The sequence below is a fragment of the Homo sapiens genome, chromosome 2, assembly GCF_000001405.40.
Source record: "Homo sapiens chromosome 2, GRCh38.p14 Primary Assembly".
NCBI lineage: Eukaryota > Metazoa > Chordata > Mammalia > Primates > Hominidae > Homo > Homo sapiens.
Genome location: NC_000002.12, coordinates 9196211 through 9211345, shown reverse-complemented (window position 1 = coordinate 9211345; position 15135 = coordinate 9196211). Strand labels below are relative to the sequence as shown.

At 46.1% G+C, this 15135-nt stretch overlaps 1 protein-coding gene across 16 annotated transcripts in view, besides 4 other annotated features; it reads right to left on the bottom strand.

Moving 5' to 3' along the window:
• Positions 1–4534, bottom strand: part of ASAP2 (ArfGAP with SH3 domain, ankyrin repeat and PH domain 2) — a 198867-nt gene extending 194333 nt beyond the window's left edge. For 8 of the 16 annotated variants that reach the window (XM_011510403.4, XM_011510407.3, XM_011510404.3 and 5 more), the window contains exon 1: positions 4083–4534. In XM_011510403.4, coding sequence (XP_011508705.1) covers positions 4083–4241 — 159 coding nt within the window. In that variant the 5' untranslated portion in view covers positions 4242–4534. The remainder of the gene's footprint in view (positions 1–4082) is intronic. The other 8 variants (XM_011510406.3, XM_006711898.2, XM_006711902.2 and 5 more) reach the window with 1 other exon arrangement.
• Positions 3522–4452: an enhancer, noted in NCBI's record as "H3K27ac hESC enhancer chr2:9347023-9347953 (GRCh37/hg19 assembly coordinates)". NCBI's record gives its function as "activates a minimal SCP1, AML or CMV promoter by ChIP-STARR-seq in primed H9 embryonic stem cells {active_cell/tissue: H9 hESC(primed)}" and the evidence as "EXISTENCE:reporter gene assay evidence [ECO:0000049][PMID:30033119]".
• Positions 4453–5385: an enhancer, noted in NCBI's record as "H3K27ac hESC enhancer chr2:9346090-9347022 (GRCh37/hg19 assembly coordinates)". NCBI's record gives its function as "activates a minimal SCP1, AML or CMV promoter by ChIP-STARR-seq in naive H9 embryonic stem cells {active_cell/tissue: H9 hESC(naive)}" and the evidence as "EXISTENCE:reporter gene assay evidence [ECO:0000049][PMID:30033119]".
• Positions 4745–5004: a silencer, noted in NCBI's record as "silent region_11132". NCBI's record gives its function as "represses an Ori minimal core promoter by ATAC-STARR-seq in GM12878 lymphoblastoid cells {active_cell/tissue: GM12878}" and the evidence as "EXISTENCE:reporter gene assay evidence [ECO:0000049][PMID:35858748]".
• Positions 4815–4998: a silencer, noted in NCBI's record as "fragment chr2:9346477-9346660 (GRCh37/hg19 assembly coordinates)". NCBI's record gives its function as "represses an EF-1alpha promoter that drives an FKBP-Casp9 reporter gene in an ReSE screen in K562 erythroleukemia cells {active_cell/tissue: K562}" and the evidence as "EXISTENCE:reporter gene assay evidence [ECO:0000049][PMID:32094911]".

The window sequence follows — 15135 nt, the reverse complement described above, 5'->3', positions numbered from 1 at the left end:
CAACTGCTTATTTTTTCCATTATTTCCAAAAGCACAGGGCAGACTCTGGTTGCAGCACCAGACTTTGCTAAGTTTGCTAAAATTGTACAAAATGATGACTTGAACCAGAGAAGGTGGTCAAGTGAAAAATTATAAAATACAGGTATGCTCTCACCAGCTGCCAGGACAACAAACTTTTTTTTTTTTTTTTGAGACGCAGTTTCACTCTTGTTGCCCAGGCTGGAGTGCAATGGCACGATCTCGACTCACCGCAACCTCTACCTCTTGGGTTCAAGTGATTCTCCTGCCTCAGCCTCCCAAGTAGCTGGGATTACAGGCATGCGCCACCACACCCAGCTAATTTTGTATTTTTAGTAGAGACAGGGTTTCTCCATGTTGGTCAGGCTGGTTTCGAACTCCTGACCCCAAGTGATCTGCCCGCCTTGGCCTCCCAAACTGCTGGGATTACAGGCGTGAGCCACCGCACCTGGCCTGACAACAAACTTTTAAAAAATACACATGGGTCACCTGTAATCCCAGCACTTTGGGAGGCCAAGGCGGGCGGATCACAAGGTCAGGAGATCTAGACCATCGACCATCCTGGCTAACACGGTGAAACCCCATCTCTACTAAAAATACAGAAAATTAGCCGGGCATGGTGGCGGGCACCTGTAGTCCCAGCTACTCGGGAGGCTGAGGCAGGAGAATGGCATGAACCTGGGAGGCGGGGCTTGCAGTGAGTGGGGATCGAGCCACTGCACTCCAGCCTGGGCGACAGAGCGAGACTCCATCTCAAAAAAAAAAACACATGGGTTAACAGATACACGGTAGTGTTTCATTCACTCACCCATTCAGCCATTCATCCATTTCCCTGACACTTCCCCCCATGTAAATCCCATCCTCACTCCAAAAGCCCTCACTGGGGCCTGTGGACTCACTAACTATATAATCTGGTAACTAATTGTCTGGCAGCTTCTGTGCTATGTACTATCTTCCTAAACCCTCACCACAATCCTCTGAAGTTGATAGGTATTATTAACCAGACTTTAAAGCTGAGGAAAATAAGAAAATGTTAGGCATCTCACTCAAGTTCACTCAGCTGGCAAGCTGTAGAGCCTGAACTTGAACCCAGGTCAATCTGACAAAGGAGTAATTTAGAGAATTCGGCATTAAGAAAAGTAACAGGAAGCAGCATGGTTTCTGAAAACAGCAGGAGCCAAGTTCAAAGTCCACTTCAGAGCTCTATAACCTTTGGCAAATTACTTAACCTCTCTGAGCCTCAATTTCCTCGCCTATAAAGCAGAGATAAGGACTGAATTCAATACCTGTGAGTTTCATAGTACAGGATAAGGGCCCAACAGTTACTATAATAATATTCCAGCAACAAGTATGCAAATCAAAACAGCACATTTTAATTGTAAAATGATTCTTTGGCAGATAGAACCTACATTGGAAATAACAGATTCAAAAAGGTTAATCAGTTTAAAATTAGTTTGCTGGCCGGGTGTGGTGGCTCACGCCTGTAATCCCAGCACTGTGGGAGGCTGAGGCAGGTGGATCACCTGAGGTCAGGAGTTCGAGACCAGCCTGACCAACATGGTGAAACCCCATCTCTACTAAATACAAAAAATTAGCTGTGCATGGTGGCGCATGCCTGTAATCCCAGCTACTTGGGAGGCTGAGGCAGGAGAATCGCTTGAACCTGGGAGGCAGAGGATGCAGTGAGCCAAGATTGTGCCATTGCACTCCAGCCTGGGCAACAAGAGCAAAACTCCGTAACAAATAAATAAATAAATATAAAATTAGTTTGCTAGTTCCGTGATTCATTTGTTTAAACATAAGACCAAGAGCTTGCAAATTTTATTTATTTGTTAAATGAGTAACTTTATGTCATGATACCCTCTCATGTTTCGTCTCAGTATGAGAAGATTTTTGTTTAAAACCAAAATACTGTACACATCAATTGTTATTAAACCATACATAGAACAAGTTTTGGTAATAGACACGAACATTAGACACCTGGGAAAGAGCATTATTTAAAGAAATCCACATTGATTTACCTCAGAAAGTGAACAACTTTCAAATTTAGTTATAAAACCAAGCTCACACATACCATCATCATAGCATGTATGTAGATTTGCTTAAAGTGAAATAAACCTGAAATGATTTTAATTTTTCCATTTTGAGACTTGAACCAATTCTTGGGCTTAGACGGCAGCATGAAGCAAGCTTGCAATTTAATGAAATGACCAAATCCAGTCTCTTTGTAATCTGCTCAGTAACTGAGCTCTAGGGTAATCTCCTGCACAGCATACAAAAAGAGCTTTGGAATTATACACTGTAAACTAAAATTAATCAGAGAAAGGTATGCCAATTTTAATAGCAATTCTTGTTTGCTTGGCTTTCCAACATCTGCCAGTGTTAATAATATTTAACTGACAAACTGCAGTGGGGAAAAGCAACAGAACTTTAAACATAATCAAGCTTTCTAAAGAAAGACATCATGCACAATGCTTCCTTCCCTTAAGAAATATTCAGCTACCTTTTTGGTTGCAATCATTCCATAAACATTATTAATGGTGTATTCTCAAAACACCGTGCTTTTTAACTGGCACTTAGGAAAAAATTTCATTCACCCATCCCCATCTGCCTCATTTGAAGGCATCATCTGTAAGCCTTGCTGCTAAAAGTAGAATTAAGTGATCTGGGGAATCACCGAATTCATAGGAAAGGTTTACATGCAGCTCTCTTCCGCCAAATTAAATGGAGAGAAGGAAGGCTACCCAAGTTATATTAACAGGATTCAGAATGCTGAATGTTACTTTTGACTCCCTTTTATTGACTGTTTACAGCTACAAAGAAAAAATTTTTCCATTAAGGGAAAACATTCTGGATTTTTTTTCAAGCAATTCCTAATAGCAGATGCTTTGTTCAAATGGGAAAAAAAAAAAAAAACCAGAAAAAAAAAATAACGCCATTGCTTCATTTAAAGCTCTTTGGTGACACCCACCCCCCCACCCACACACACACTCCTGCTAGCCCAGGCGTCTTCTGCTAAAACACCTGCAATACCCAATTTTAAAACTGTAACCTGACATCCTGGCCCAGAGACATTTAATCACAGATTCACTATTGCCACACGTGTGACTTGTAAACCTATTCTGAGCCGAGCAGAGTGCTAAGCACTTCACACAGTCTCTGATCCTGGAAAGGATGCATTACTAATCCCGTTTGATGGGTAAGGAAAAGGAGGACTGCAGGTGAGGATGTGCCTCAAACCACAGCCAACGGTGGCCCCTGGACTCACAGACTCTGCCCCTTTCCCCACGGCTTTAATTTTCAACCAAGCTTCTTCGTTCCTACGTGTTCCTCTCCCCAGGACCTGGAGAGCGTACTGCTTAGCAGCTAGGCGTGATGACTTTGCACCTTGAGAGCACTTTACTAAAACCAGGCCTTTTCCAGGTTGAGGGGGAAGGGCGGCATTCCGGGTTCAAGCAGGTGAGACCCAGGTAACCGGGGAGCGGCTCCTGGAGGCTTCTTGGACCCAGAAGCGCCGACTCTCACACACCTTGCCCGCAGTTCCTTCTCCGGGCACGGGTGGAGCGCAGCCAGGCCGCCCTGGCTGAGGCGGGCACGCCTTCCCGGGCAGCCCGGGATGCCCCGGACCCGCGGACCCGAGGGTGGGGGCCCTGCGGCGCTCGGGGGCTGCGGCGGGGAGCTCGGAGCGCGGAGCTGCCCCCGCCGGTCCACTTCAAGAACAAGTTGATAAGGTCCGCACCGGGTACCAAAGACCCCGGGCGGCGGCGGGCGGCGGCGGGCAGCGGGATCCCCCGCTCGCCGCGGACCCCGACTCTGGACAAAGTTGGCCGCGCTGCGGGGAAAAGACCAGGCCGCGGAACCCCGCGAGGGCCACGAGGCCGAGAGAGGGGAGGTCTTAAAGAGGCCCAAGGTGGCCATCACCCATCTCCTCCGAGCCACCTAGGCGGGAACAAAGGGCTTCTGTCTCGGGCAGGGTTGGCCCGGCCGCGTCCGGCTTCGGAGCAAAGAAAGTTTTCTCGGGATGCGGATGCGGGAGCGGCGGGCGGGGCTGGGGCGCGGGATACCTGCGGCCGGAGCCGCCGCGCAGGCCGCCTCACCTCCTCGATGGCCGCCACAGTGTTCCGGCACTGCGCCGTGCGGGTGGTGAAGCTGGAGGCCGTGGGCGCCTTGTAGTCCTCATGGGTCTCGGCCACGAATTCCGACACGGAGATCTGGTCCGGCATCGCCTCGGCGCGAGGGCGCTGGCGCACAGCCGCAGGGGCGCCGCCGCCTCAACTGCCGCAGCAGGCTCCGACCGCCGCTCGGACACCGCCGCTGCCGCCGCCGCTCCGGCCCGCGGACAAAGGGGAGCGCCGGGCGCGGGAGCCGCGCGGGGCCTGGCGGCGGAGCAGGGGCGGCGCGCAGCCCCGCGCAGCTCGGCCGGTCCGCCCGCCTGCGCGCCGAGGGCTCCGAGTCCGCTGCCGCCGCGTCCTCTCAGAGCGAGCCCCGAGGCGGGCGCGCACAGCCGGCGGGAACTACCCGCCACCCAGCCGCGGGCCCCGACGCCTCCCGCGGAGAGGGGCGGGTCCGGGCCGGGGGCGGCGGCCGGCCGGGCGTGGGGCGGGGCGGCGGGAGGACCGGGCCGCCAATCGGCGCGCTCGCCGCTGCCGCGCCGCCGGGAAGCGGATCCCGCAGGAAGGAAGGCGGCGCGCGCCCCGGCCCGCCGAGCCGTTCCTGGCCGCCGCGCGCCGCATTGTCTCGGCGTTCCGGGCCCCGCGCGCCGCGCCCATGCCCCGCCCCCAGCCGGCCCGAGGCCCCGACTCCGACCCGCTGCCCGCGAGGGTGCGTGTGGAGGTGCGCCCCGCCGGAGTCCGGCCTTGTGCGCGCCAACCGCCCCCCGCCCACGGCGCGGAGCACCTCTGGGCTCCCCACTTGAACGGCGGGCCGCGCCGGCCCATGAGGAAAGCGGGGTGCGGAGCTCGCCCCCTGCCGGAGGATGCGCTCCGCCGGCGGGCACCCTGCGGGGACCACAGCCGGACGCCAGAAGTGACCTGACCGTGAATGTGCGCTTTGCGTGCAGTCATTGCATCGTCGCAGGCCTAGGAGACAGATGAAGAGATGGGTGCTTATTTTATATAGGGGACACAGTGTGCCCAAGAGCACAAGATAAACGGCCGGGTGGGGATTCAAACCCATGTTCCCTGACTCAAGTGTGAGTGCTTCAGAGCGGTGAGGGGCCCCTACTAAAAGTCCCAGTCGCGTTTCCTAGGCTGCCCAATGATAGGTATTCTCGGTTATAGTTTTAGGGTACTAGGCCAGGACCCACCCTGGGAAGGCTGCTGAACGCCCTGAAGTGGTATTCCCGCAGGCAGAGGAGGGAACCGAGGGGGTGCAGGAGGAGGAGGAGGGGGAGAACGTGCTACAGCAGCCAGCCAACCTCACACAAAACCGGGCCAGTAAAGGGTTCGAACTGGTACCGATTTTTATTTACAGCTCTTAAGGAAATTCTCGGTTATACTGAAAAATCCAGAAGCTCTGAAGATACCAGTCAAATAAAATCACACCCTATAACTCTACACCAGACTTGTGGCATGGTTTCTGTAGCTGCCAGCGGTAAAACCAAGAGAAACTTTACAAAAACCTTTTGTGCATCTGAAAAGGAGGAAGTGTGAGAGACACTGGAAATTCAATATGTCAGACAAAGCCGTCTCCTGACACTGCAGGACAGTAGACCAGTCAAACAATCTTTTTAAAGCCCCCATGTAAGAAGTTGCTATATGAGGTGGCAGCTTGGGTCAGACATTATGTATGGCCTTTGGTATTTTAGTAGCACTGCATGTAAAATTTAACTTTCTAAAATCGCTGTATTCGTGGATAGCTTTTATCATTGCACTAGACAACAAGTTACAATTTAAAAATTGTATCTGTTTCTTTTTATGTTTTTTGATCCTTTTGGTGTCTGAAGTTTTCCTCTATTTGCAACCTTCTACAATTCATGTTTTGTGTTTATTATTTATATTAATACATCCTCTCCAACACCAGGCAGATTCTGTTCCCGCCTACCTAGTTTCCCAGCTACAGTTTTTGACATGAGGGAATATGCTGAATAACTTTTCAAGTCTTGATTTGTAGAGGGCTGGTCTCTATGAGGCTATGAGGGATCTAAGAAAGAAAGTCGGGTTTTTCCTTGATGTCTAGTACAGCATTAACCAGACTAATCAATACTTCTACAAGGACAAAGTTAAGCTTGGTATTCTCTGTTCTCTCTTTATATACAACTCCGGTTCTTGTTTCTTTTAGTTTAATTTTGCAGATACAGGAAGCTTTAGTAGCCTCAAAAAAATAAAATTGCAAAGCTGTGTTGCATTGCAAGGCTGGTGGAAAACAACAATTAGTTACCAAGTTCATTGGTGGCCTAAAGAGGATACCAAATTGGTAGAATGCTAGAGCCATTTATTCCTCCATCATCCCTTAGAAATCTAACTTGCCTACTGCATAAGCCTAGAATTAAAGCAAGACCAGAGCAAAACATAGCTAATGCCTTTCTGAGATTAATATAAGAATGAGTAGCTTCCAATAAATAACAATAAAATTAAAGTTCAACATGGATCAAGGAAACACTCTACACATACTCATTTTTTTAAATGCATCAAGAGAAGAAGAGTATGCTGGTAATGTCCTTACAGGCCTATACTTCCTTAACCAGAATTACTAAAAATCCCTGAAAATGTAGCTTTACAAATAGTTCTTAATAGTAAAATTCATCTGAAATGAACTGATGTGAGGCTATGTGTGGTCTTGTTTATCCTACCTCATGTGAATATGTATGTTTTGCTGCAAAATATAAACATGGTTGATTATGAAGTATTGCCCCAGACCCTACTGGGGGTAATTAGGAATATGTTATTATATGCAATGTGTTACCTTTCTAAAATCCGAAAATTTCTGAATCCACACATATCTGGCCCTTGGGGTTTCAGTAAGAGATTGTAGGCCTGTATTATTTTTTTTTAAAAAAAAAGGCGAAGAAAAAGGAGGAAGGAAGAAGGAGAAGGAAAGGAAGAGGAAAAGGAGAGAACGAAAACGTGATGTTAAAGACATCGTTTCCAGAGAAGAGACTCTCCTCCCAAAAATGAAATTTTTAGCGGCCCAGTGAGATTGGCCAACAGCCCATTTTCCAAAGGAATCTTCTGCCTCTAGTAGTTCACAAGAACCTGGGATTTATCACTCTCAGATCAAGGTGTAAAATATGTTCTTGACTCTGAAATTTGCTTGAGGGTTGGCTGGTTTACACAAGACTTGTCCAGTTCACTTGCTATTAACTTGTAAATGATTACTCTTGGAATGGGCAAATATGTGCTTTGAAAGAACTATGGTAAGAAATAGTAACAACAACCTAAAAACCCTGGTGATGTGAACATGGAAGTATAACTGAAAGTTTCTTTTCGTAACTTAATAATACTCTGCCCAAAATCGTGTTGCTGAAGGGACCCATTTATCCCCAAAGTGAGAGAAGATTGAGTACATTTACCACAGTTATCTCACTTTAGCACCCAGAAACTATTTTACAAATGAAAACTTGGGTTTTGGTAATAAATTGCTTCTCTGTGATAAGTAAGCTAGCCTCCCTAGGCCGGGCGCAGTGGCTCACTCCTGTAATCCCAGCACTTTGGGAGGCCGAGGCGGGCGGATCACGAGGTCAGGAGATCGAGACCATCCTGGCTAACACGGTGAAACCCCGTCTCTACTAAAAATCCAAAAAATTAGCCGGGCTTGGTGGTGGGCACCTGTAGTCCCAGCTACTCAGGAGGCTGAGGCAGGAGAATGGCCTAAACCCAGGAGGCGGAGCTTGCAGTGAGCTGAGATCCGGCCACTGCACTCCAACCTGGGCGACAGAGCGAGACTCTGTCTCAAAAAAAAAAAAAAAGAAAAAGAAATAAAGCTAGCCTCCCTAAAGAGTGTAGCTTGGACTAGCTAATTTCTAAGGCGCCTCCCCGTCCTGGTGTCCTGGTGTTCGTGCTGCCATTTTCTGTGTTTTATGTTAGTTTAGACACAAGAGAGAAAAATGCCACAAAGCATTGCTAAACATTAGTACTGAGACTCTAATTATTGTCCTAGACTTTTGAGAATGAGGCATGTTTTAGATGCCATTGGGAGCTAAATTTTTGAGAAAGTGGTCATTTTGTTAAGATGGTAGATTTAGATAACAAGCAGATTTATTCATTGCTAACTTTACAGATAACTTGAGGCCTGTTCATTTTTTTATTTTAACAAAGCAGTTTGAATAGATGACACACTCATTGCTGAACTGGAAAGAGAGTAATAGGTAAATTAAATATGATCAGTCATATACGGGAGTCACTTGTGCTGGCTCCAGAGACCTGATTCTTCAATTTTCAGGAATTTTGCAAGTTGGTTGTATCTCTTCTCTATGGTAGAAATATTATATCATGGTGTGCTAGTGAACATCTCTTCCCAACTCCATGTTCTGGTAGTTTGAGATTGTCCATGGTAGAGTATTTACAGCAGGAAAATTGGCAAATGATAAAAATCAAGGCCTGATTTATTGTTTTGTTGATTGTCTAACTTAATAAACTTAATGCAGTTATAGAGAAAGTATCATTCATGCGGATTAGACTTAAAGGTGTGTCAGGTCTACAGCCATCGCATTGTAAATAATGAAATTTTTGAGGAAATACCCTTCTAATATTTACAAACTAGTACATGATTGAGTAAAAAGGTCACTCATGTCATTGACAGATGAATAAAGTTATAGCATGCATCTTCACTGTTTCAGTTTTGTCTTATTAACATAAACAAAAAAGTCAACTAAATTCAGGTTGGAACTACACTCATTTGTTTTTTTTTTTTTTTTTTTTTTGAGACGGAGTCTCGCTCTGTTGCCCAGGCCGGACTGCGGACTGCAGTGGCGCAATCTCGGCTCACTGCAAGCTCCGCTTCCCGGGTTCACGCCATTCTCCTGCCTCAGCCTCCCGAGTAGCTGGGACTACAGGCGCCGCCACCGCGCCCGGCTAATTTTTTGTATTTTTAGTAGAGACGGGGTTTCACCTTGTTAGCCAGGATGGTCTCGATCTCCTGACCTCGTGATCCACCCGCCTCGGCCTCCCAAAGTGCTGGGATTACAGGCGTGAGCCACCGCGCCCGGCCTACACTCATTTGTTAATGACATGAGCAACTTTGCTGAGCTGGGCAATAATCAAGCATTTATTTATAGTCTTATTTTGTCAAATTGTGGTTGAATTGCAGACACAGATTGGCTATGAATGAAAGCATTTGGCCAAAATCAATGAAACCATTCTGTGAGAATCAATTAACTATATGGAATTTACACTAAAGAGTAGTGTGTAATTTGTAATTACTCATAAATTGTGTGCTACACATTTTTTAAATCAGTAAAAGTTAAAATAAACGTATTTACTTATGTTCACACATACACCTTTTCAGAGAGTAGATTGTTGAACATTGACCAGCCCACTTCTGAGTATAATTGTATCATCCTTGTCCAGAGTCAGGGCATTGGAACTTCCAGCTCTGAGTCACTCTTATGGACTTAAAACACATACAGGATAAAATCTCAGTAAATTGGACTATATGAGCAAAGGAACTTGTGTTAATAAAAAGTATTTGTCTTTGAGTTATTAAGAAAATGCCATGTGTTGTTTTCAAGTACTCAGAACAACACAACCCAGTACCGACAGAGGGTGTGGTTTGTTTTAATGAAAGAGCAAAAAAGAGTTTAATAAGCACTCTGTATGTAAATAAGTTTCTCTAAAGCTTTTAAAGTGCATGCAATAATTTATCTTCTTGAGTCAACTCAGTCTCTTCCGCCTCCACGAAGACCCATTCTTAATTTTGCAAGGCCCCCTCTTAGTTGGTGCAGAAGTCCACTTGTGTCTTATCTGGATATGTTCTCCCTGGGCTAAAGAATGTCCAGTGGTTTCCGTTTGGCCCCTAGATAAGGTTTAAACTCCTTCGTCACAGTTTGTTCCAGCCTTTTCCCCAACTTCCTTGACCCTGGCCCTCCCCACACCATATTTTGACCCAGGGATCTGCAAACTGTGGCCCAGGGGCCAAATATAGTTCACAACCTGTTTTTGTAGTGTTTGTGAGCTGAGAATGGTTTTGACACTGTTTAATGGTTGAAGAAAATGAGAAGAAGAAGAATATTTCATGACGTGTGAAAATTACATGGAACTCAAATTTGAGTGATTATAAAGTTTCGGCAGCACCACACCATTCTTTTACCTCTTATCCACGGCAGCGGAGTTGAGTAGTTTCGACAGACGTCAAATGGCCCCCACACCTAAAATATTTGCAATACTATATGGCTCTTCATAGAAAAAGTTTGCCAGCCCCACTTTCACCACACCAAGCTTGCCATGTTTCCCAGCTCACAGTGCCCTTGCGTGCCATTAAGTTGAATGCAGTCTCCCTGCCTTTCATCTGTTTCCCAGAGGGCAAGTTAACTCACCATTCACTGAGCACATTATGGATTTCCTTGTCCGTGACCCCTCATGGGGACTCCTCTGCCTGGAGCACTCTTCCTCTTGTCCATCTGGCAAACTTCTGGTCCTCTTTCAGGATCGAACCCAAATCTCCCCTCCAGACATCATTTCTGAAGTCTCTGGGTAAAACTCTGAGTTCCCCCTGCTTCCACAGTGCTTTACACATAGCCTAGCGCTGTTGTGAGGGGATAGAGTCAGGAGCACGCTGTGAAGTGCCACCCCTGCCCTTCCTCCCTGCCTGTGCACATCAGCATCCTCTCTATTCTCATTGGCATGTGAAGTAATTGTTGTAGCCAATTAATGATTCAGACGAGATGGGCGCATTCATTTCATTGAACTGGTAAGTCTCAACTTCACTCTGGAAATACAATGCTTCTCTTGCCCCAGAGCACTGGATGCTTGCATTATACAAATGTTCACATTAGATCATGACTAAAACATCTGTTTTCTCAGCTCACTGCAGTCACTAGGCTCCTGGGAGAAGGGGAGGTGTTTTATTTATCTTTGTATCTCTAGCTCCAAAACAGAGCAGGCAGGCACACAGTAGGTGCTCCATAAATGTTCATATAATTGAATTGCAGGGAGGTGCTAATCCTTCAGCATACAAAATGAGAGAAGACATGTTAATTCAGCATAAGGAAAAGCCATTGGTTTAAGATATGTGAAGGCACAGTGGTTTCTTTTCCCCCCATGATGGGGGTCTTCTCTCCACTCAAGTATTCTGTTAAAAATATGTTTATAGACAGAATGCAAGCAGTGGTTGGGAGGGCAGTGGTGATTGGATTGGGTCCCTTGCCCCACTACAGACTGAAATCTTTTTCCCTCTACATCAGGAGCCTCAGTTCGGTTCCAGTTTCAGTATGGTGGTGGCGTGACACCGTCACATATGAGCTAAGGACTCCTGTCGCCTCAACCCTTGCTACTTGAAGTGTGGTCCCCAGATCAGCTGCACTGGCATCACCTGGGAGCCAGGTAGAAGTGCAGAACCTTGGACCTGCTGAATCAGAGCCTGATCTTCAGCAAGATCCTCAGGCAATGTGTTTGCACTTTACAATTTGAGAAGCATTGTTCTAGTATACGTATGGATACAGCATAAGCGAGGAGTTGATATTCCCACTTGTCAGAAGCAGTGTTCCAAGTTAGGTAAACTATACTGATAGGACTCAATAAAACCTGAAGGGTTAAGGTTTTTTCTGGTCCTAAGATTTAGGAAAGTTCCTTTCATTTCTGAAGTGCCATGTTGTAATATACTCTGTCTAGCTGTACTGCGTTTCTCATTAATTCAACTAATATTTACTAAATACCTAGTATATGCCAAGCGCTGTCCTCGAAACTAGGATGTAGTAATTGAACAAGCCAGAGAAGGTGGTAGGTGCTTTAGAACTTAGATCTAGCAGGGGAAGGCAGGTAGTAAGTAAATACACAACTAAAATAATGTCACATAAGTCCTATTGAGGGAAATGAAGCAGAAGGATGGAATAAAGAATATCCTGGTAGGGTAAAGTAGCTACATCCAAGAGGACAATCAGGAAAGGCTTCTGGGAGGAAGTGACATTTGAGCTGAGTCCAGAATGAGGAGGAGCAGCTGAGTGCAAATCAGAGAGGAGAGTGTTACAAAGCAACAGCAAATGCAAAGTCTCTGAAGCAGGAGTTAAGTAGACCTTGTGAGAAGAAGGTCAGAGCAGTGGGAGCTCTGGGAGCAAGGGAGCAATGGCTGTGGCCGGGAGCTGATGCTGAAGAGGTGGACAGGACCCAGAGGGTGCAGAATCTCAAAATCTTCTTGGGTGTGTTGTTTGGTTTGTTTGTTTGTTTGTTTGTTTGTCTGTTTTTAGAGACAGGGTCTCGCTCTGTCTCCCAGGCTGGAGTGCAGTGGCGCGATCACGCCTCACTGCCGCCTCGACCTCCTTCTCGATCTCCTCCTTGGATGTGTTTTTTACAAGCAGAGGGCCAGCATGATTTGTTTCACACTTTATAAAAGGTCATGTTGGCTGCACCTGGAGAAATGATTATAGAGGGGCAAGTGTAAAGGCAAAACAGTAAAATAAAATACTAATTCACAATAGATAAATTGGACTTCAAAAATAACACTTTTGTCCTACAAAGGACACATCAAGGAAGTGGAAAAAAAACACTCACAGATTTTAAAGAAATATTTTTTGGGTTTTCTTTGGTTTTTTCTTTTTGGGTTTTGTTTGTTTGTTTGTTTTTTTTTTTTTTGAGACAGGGTCTCGCCCTGTTGCCCAGGCTGGAGTGCAGTGGTGCAATCATGGCTCACTGCAGCCTCGACCTCCCTGGGCTCAGGTGATCCTCCCACCTCAGCCTCCCAAGTAGCTGGGACTACAGGCATACGCCACCATGCCTGGCTAATTTGTTTTATACTTTTTAGAGAGACAGGAGTTATACCATGTTGTCCAGGCTGGTCTCAAACTCCTGGGCTCAAGCAATCCTCCTGCCTCGACCTCCCAAAGTGCTGGGATTACAGGCATGAGCCACTGTGCCAGGCCATAATGAAATATTTGTAAATAAGATATCTGATAAGGGACTTGTATCTAGAATAAAGAACGCTTACAACTCAATAATAAAAGGCTACTCAATTTTAAAATGGGCAAATAATTCAAATAGACGTTTCTCCAAAGATGATATACAAATCGCTAGGCACACGAAAAGATGCCCAACATCATTAGTCATCAGGGAAAGGCAAATCCAAACCACAATGTGATACCATGTCACACCCACTAGGATGGTGATATGGTTTGGCTGTGTCCCCACCCAAATCTCATCTTGAATTGTAGCTCCCATAATTCCCATGTGTCGTGGGAGGGACCCAGTGGGAGATAATTTAATCATGGAGGAGGTTTCCCCTATACTGTTCTCATGGTAGTGAATAATGGTTTTTTGGGGTTTTTTTGTTTTTGTTTTTGGGATGGAGTCTCACTCTGTTGCTAGTTTGGAGTGCAATGGTGTGATCTTGGTTCACTGCAACTTCTGACTCTCTGTTTCTAGCCATTCTCCTGCCTCAGCCTCCTGAGGAGCTGGGATTACAGGCGCCCACCACCATGCCCAGCTAATTTTTCTATTTTTAGTAGAGACAGCGTTTCACCATGTTGGCCAGGATGGTCTTGATCTCCTGACCTGGTGATCAGCCTGCCTCAGCCTCCCAAACTGCTGGGATTATAGGCATGAGCCACTGCCCCCGGCTGAGATCTGATGGTTTTACATGGGGAAACCCCCTTCGCGTGGGTCTCCTTCTCGCTTGCCTGCTGCCGTGTAAGATGTGCCTTTTGCCTTCCACCATGATTGCGAGGCCTCCCCAGCTACATGGAACTGTGAGTCCATTAAACCTCTTTTTCTTTATAAATTACCCAGTCTCGGGTATGTCTTTATCAGCACCGTAAAAACAGACTAATACAGACGACTAGAATAAAACAGACAATAACAAGTGTTGCTGAAGATGCAGAGAAACTGGTATCCTCACATGCTGCCAGTGGGAGTGCACAATGGTGCAGCCACTTTGGAAAACAGTCTGAGACTTGCTCAAACGTTTAAACATAGAGTTATTGTATGACTTAGCGTTTCACTGCTAGGTATATACCAAGAGAAATGAGAACACATGTTACCACAACAACTTGTTCACGAATGTCAACAGCAGCATTATTCATAATAGCCCAACAGTGGAAACAACCCAAATGATCATGAACTGATGAATGGGTGAACAAAATGTGGTATAGTTTCCTGGGGACCATAACAAACCACTAGAAACTGGGGGCTTAAACAGCCTGCATTTATTGTCTCCGTACTGGAAGCTGAGAGTGAGAGACCAAGGTGTAGACAGAGTCAGTTCCTCCAGAGGCTGCGAAGGAGGCTCTGTTCCAGGCCCCTGTCCCAGCTTCTGGTGTTTTTCTGGCCATCTTTGTCATTCTTCAGCTTGTAGACTTATCACCCAGAGCCTGCCTTCATCTGCACTTGGCATGCTCGCTGTGTGCATGTCTGTGTCCAAATTTCCCCTTTTTATAAGGACACCAGTCATGTTGGATTAGGGACTCACTCTTCCAGTATGACATCATCTTAACTAATTACATCTGCAACTATTTCCAAATAAAGTCACAGTCTGAGGCATTAGGCATTAGAATTTCAACATATGAGTTGGGGGGCATAATTCAACCCATAAAATAATGGAATATTATATGGCTATTAAAGGGAATGAAGTACTGATACAAGGATGAACTTTGAAAACATTGTATTCAGTGAAAGAAGCCAGTCACAGAATATCACATACTATATGACTCCATTTATATTAAGTGTCTAGAATAAGCAAATCTGTAGAGACAGAAAGTAGATTAGTGGTTGCTCAGGGCAGGGAAGGGGATGGAGGAATAACAGGGTAAGAGATAAAGGGTTTTTTGGGTGACGAAAATCTTCTAAAATTGATTGCAGTAATGGTTTTACAATTCTGTGAATATGTTGAAAACCCTTAAGTTGCACACTTTTTTATTTTATATTATTTTACCTTTGAGACAGGGTCTTGCTCTGTCACCGAGGCAGGAGTGCAGTGGCACAGTCATGGCTCACTGCAGCCTCTACCCCCATGAGCACACGGGATCCTTCCCCCCGA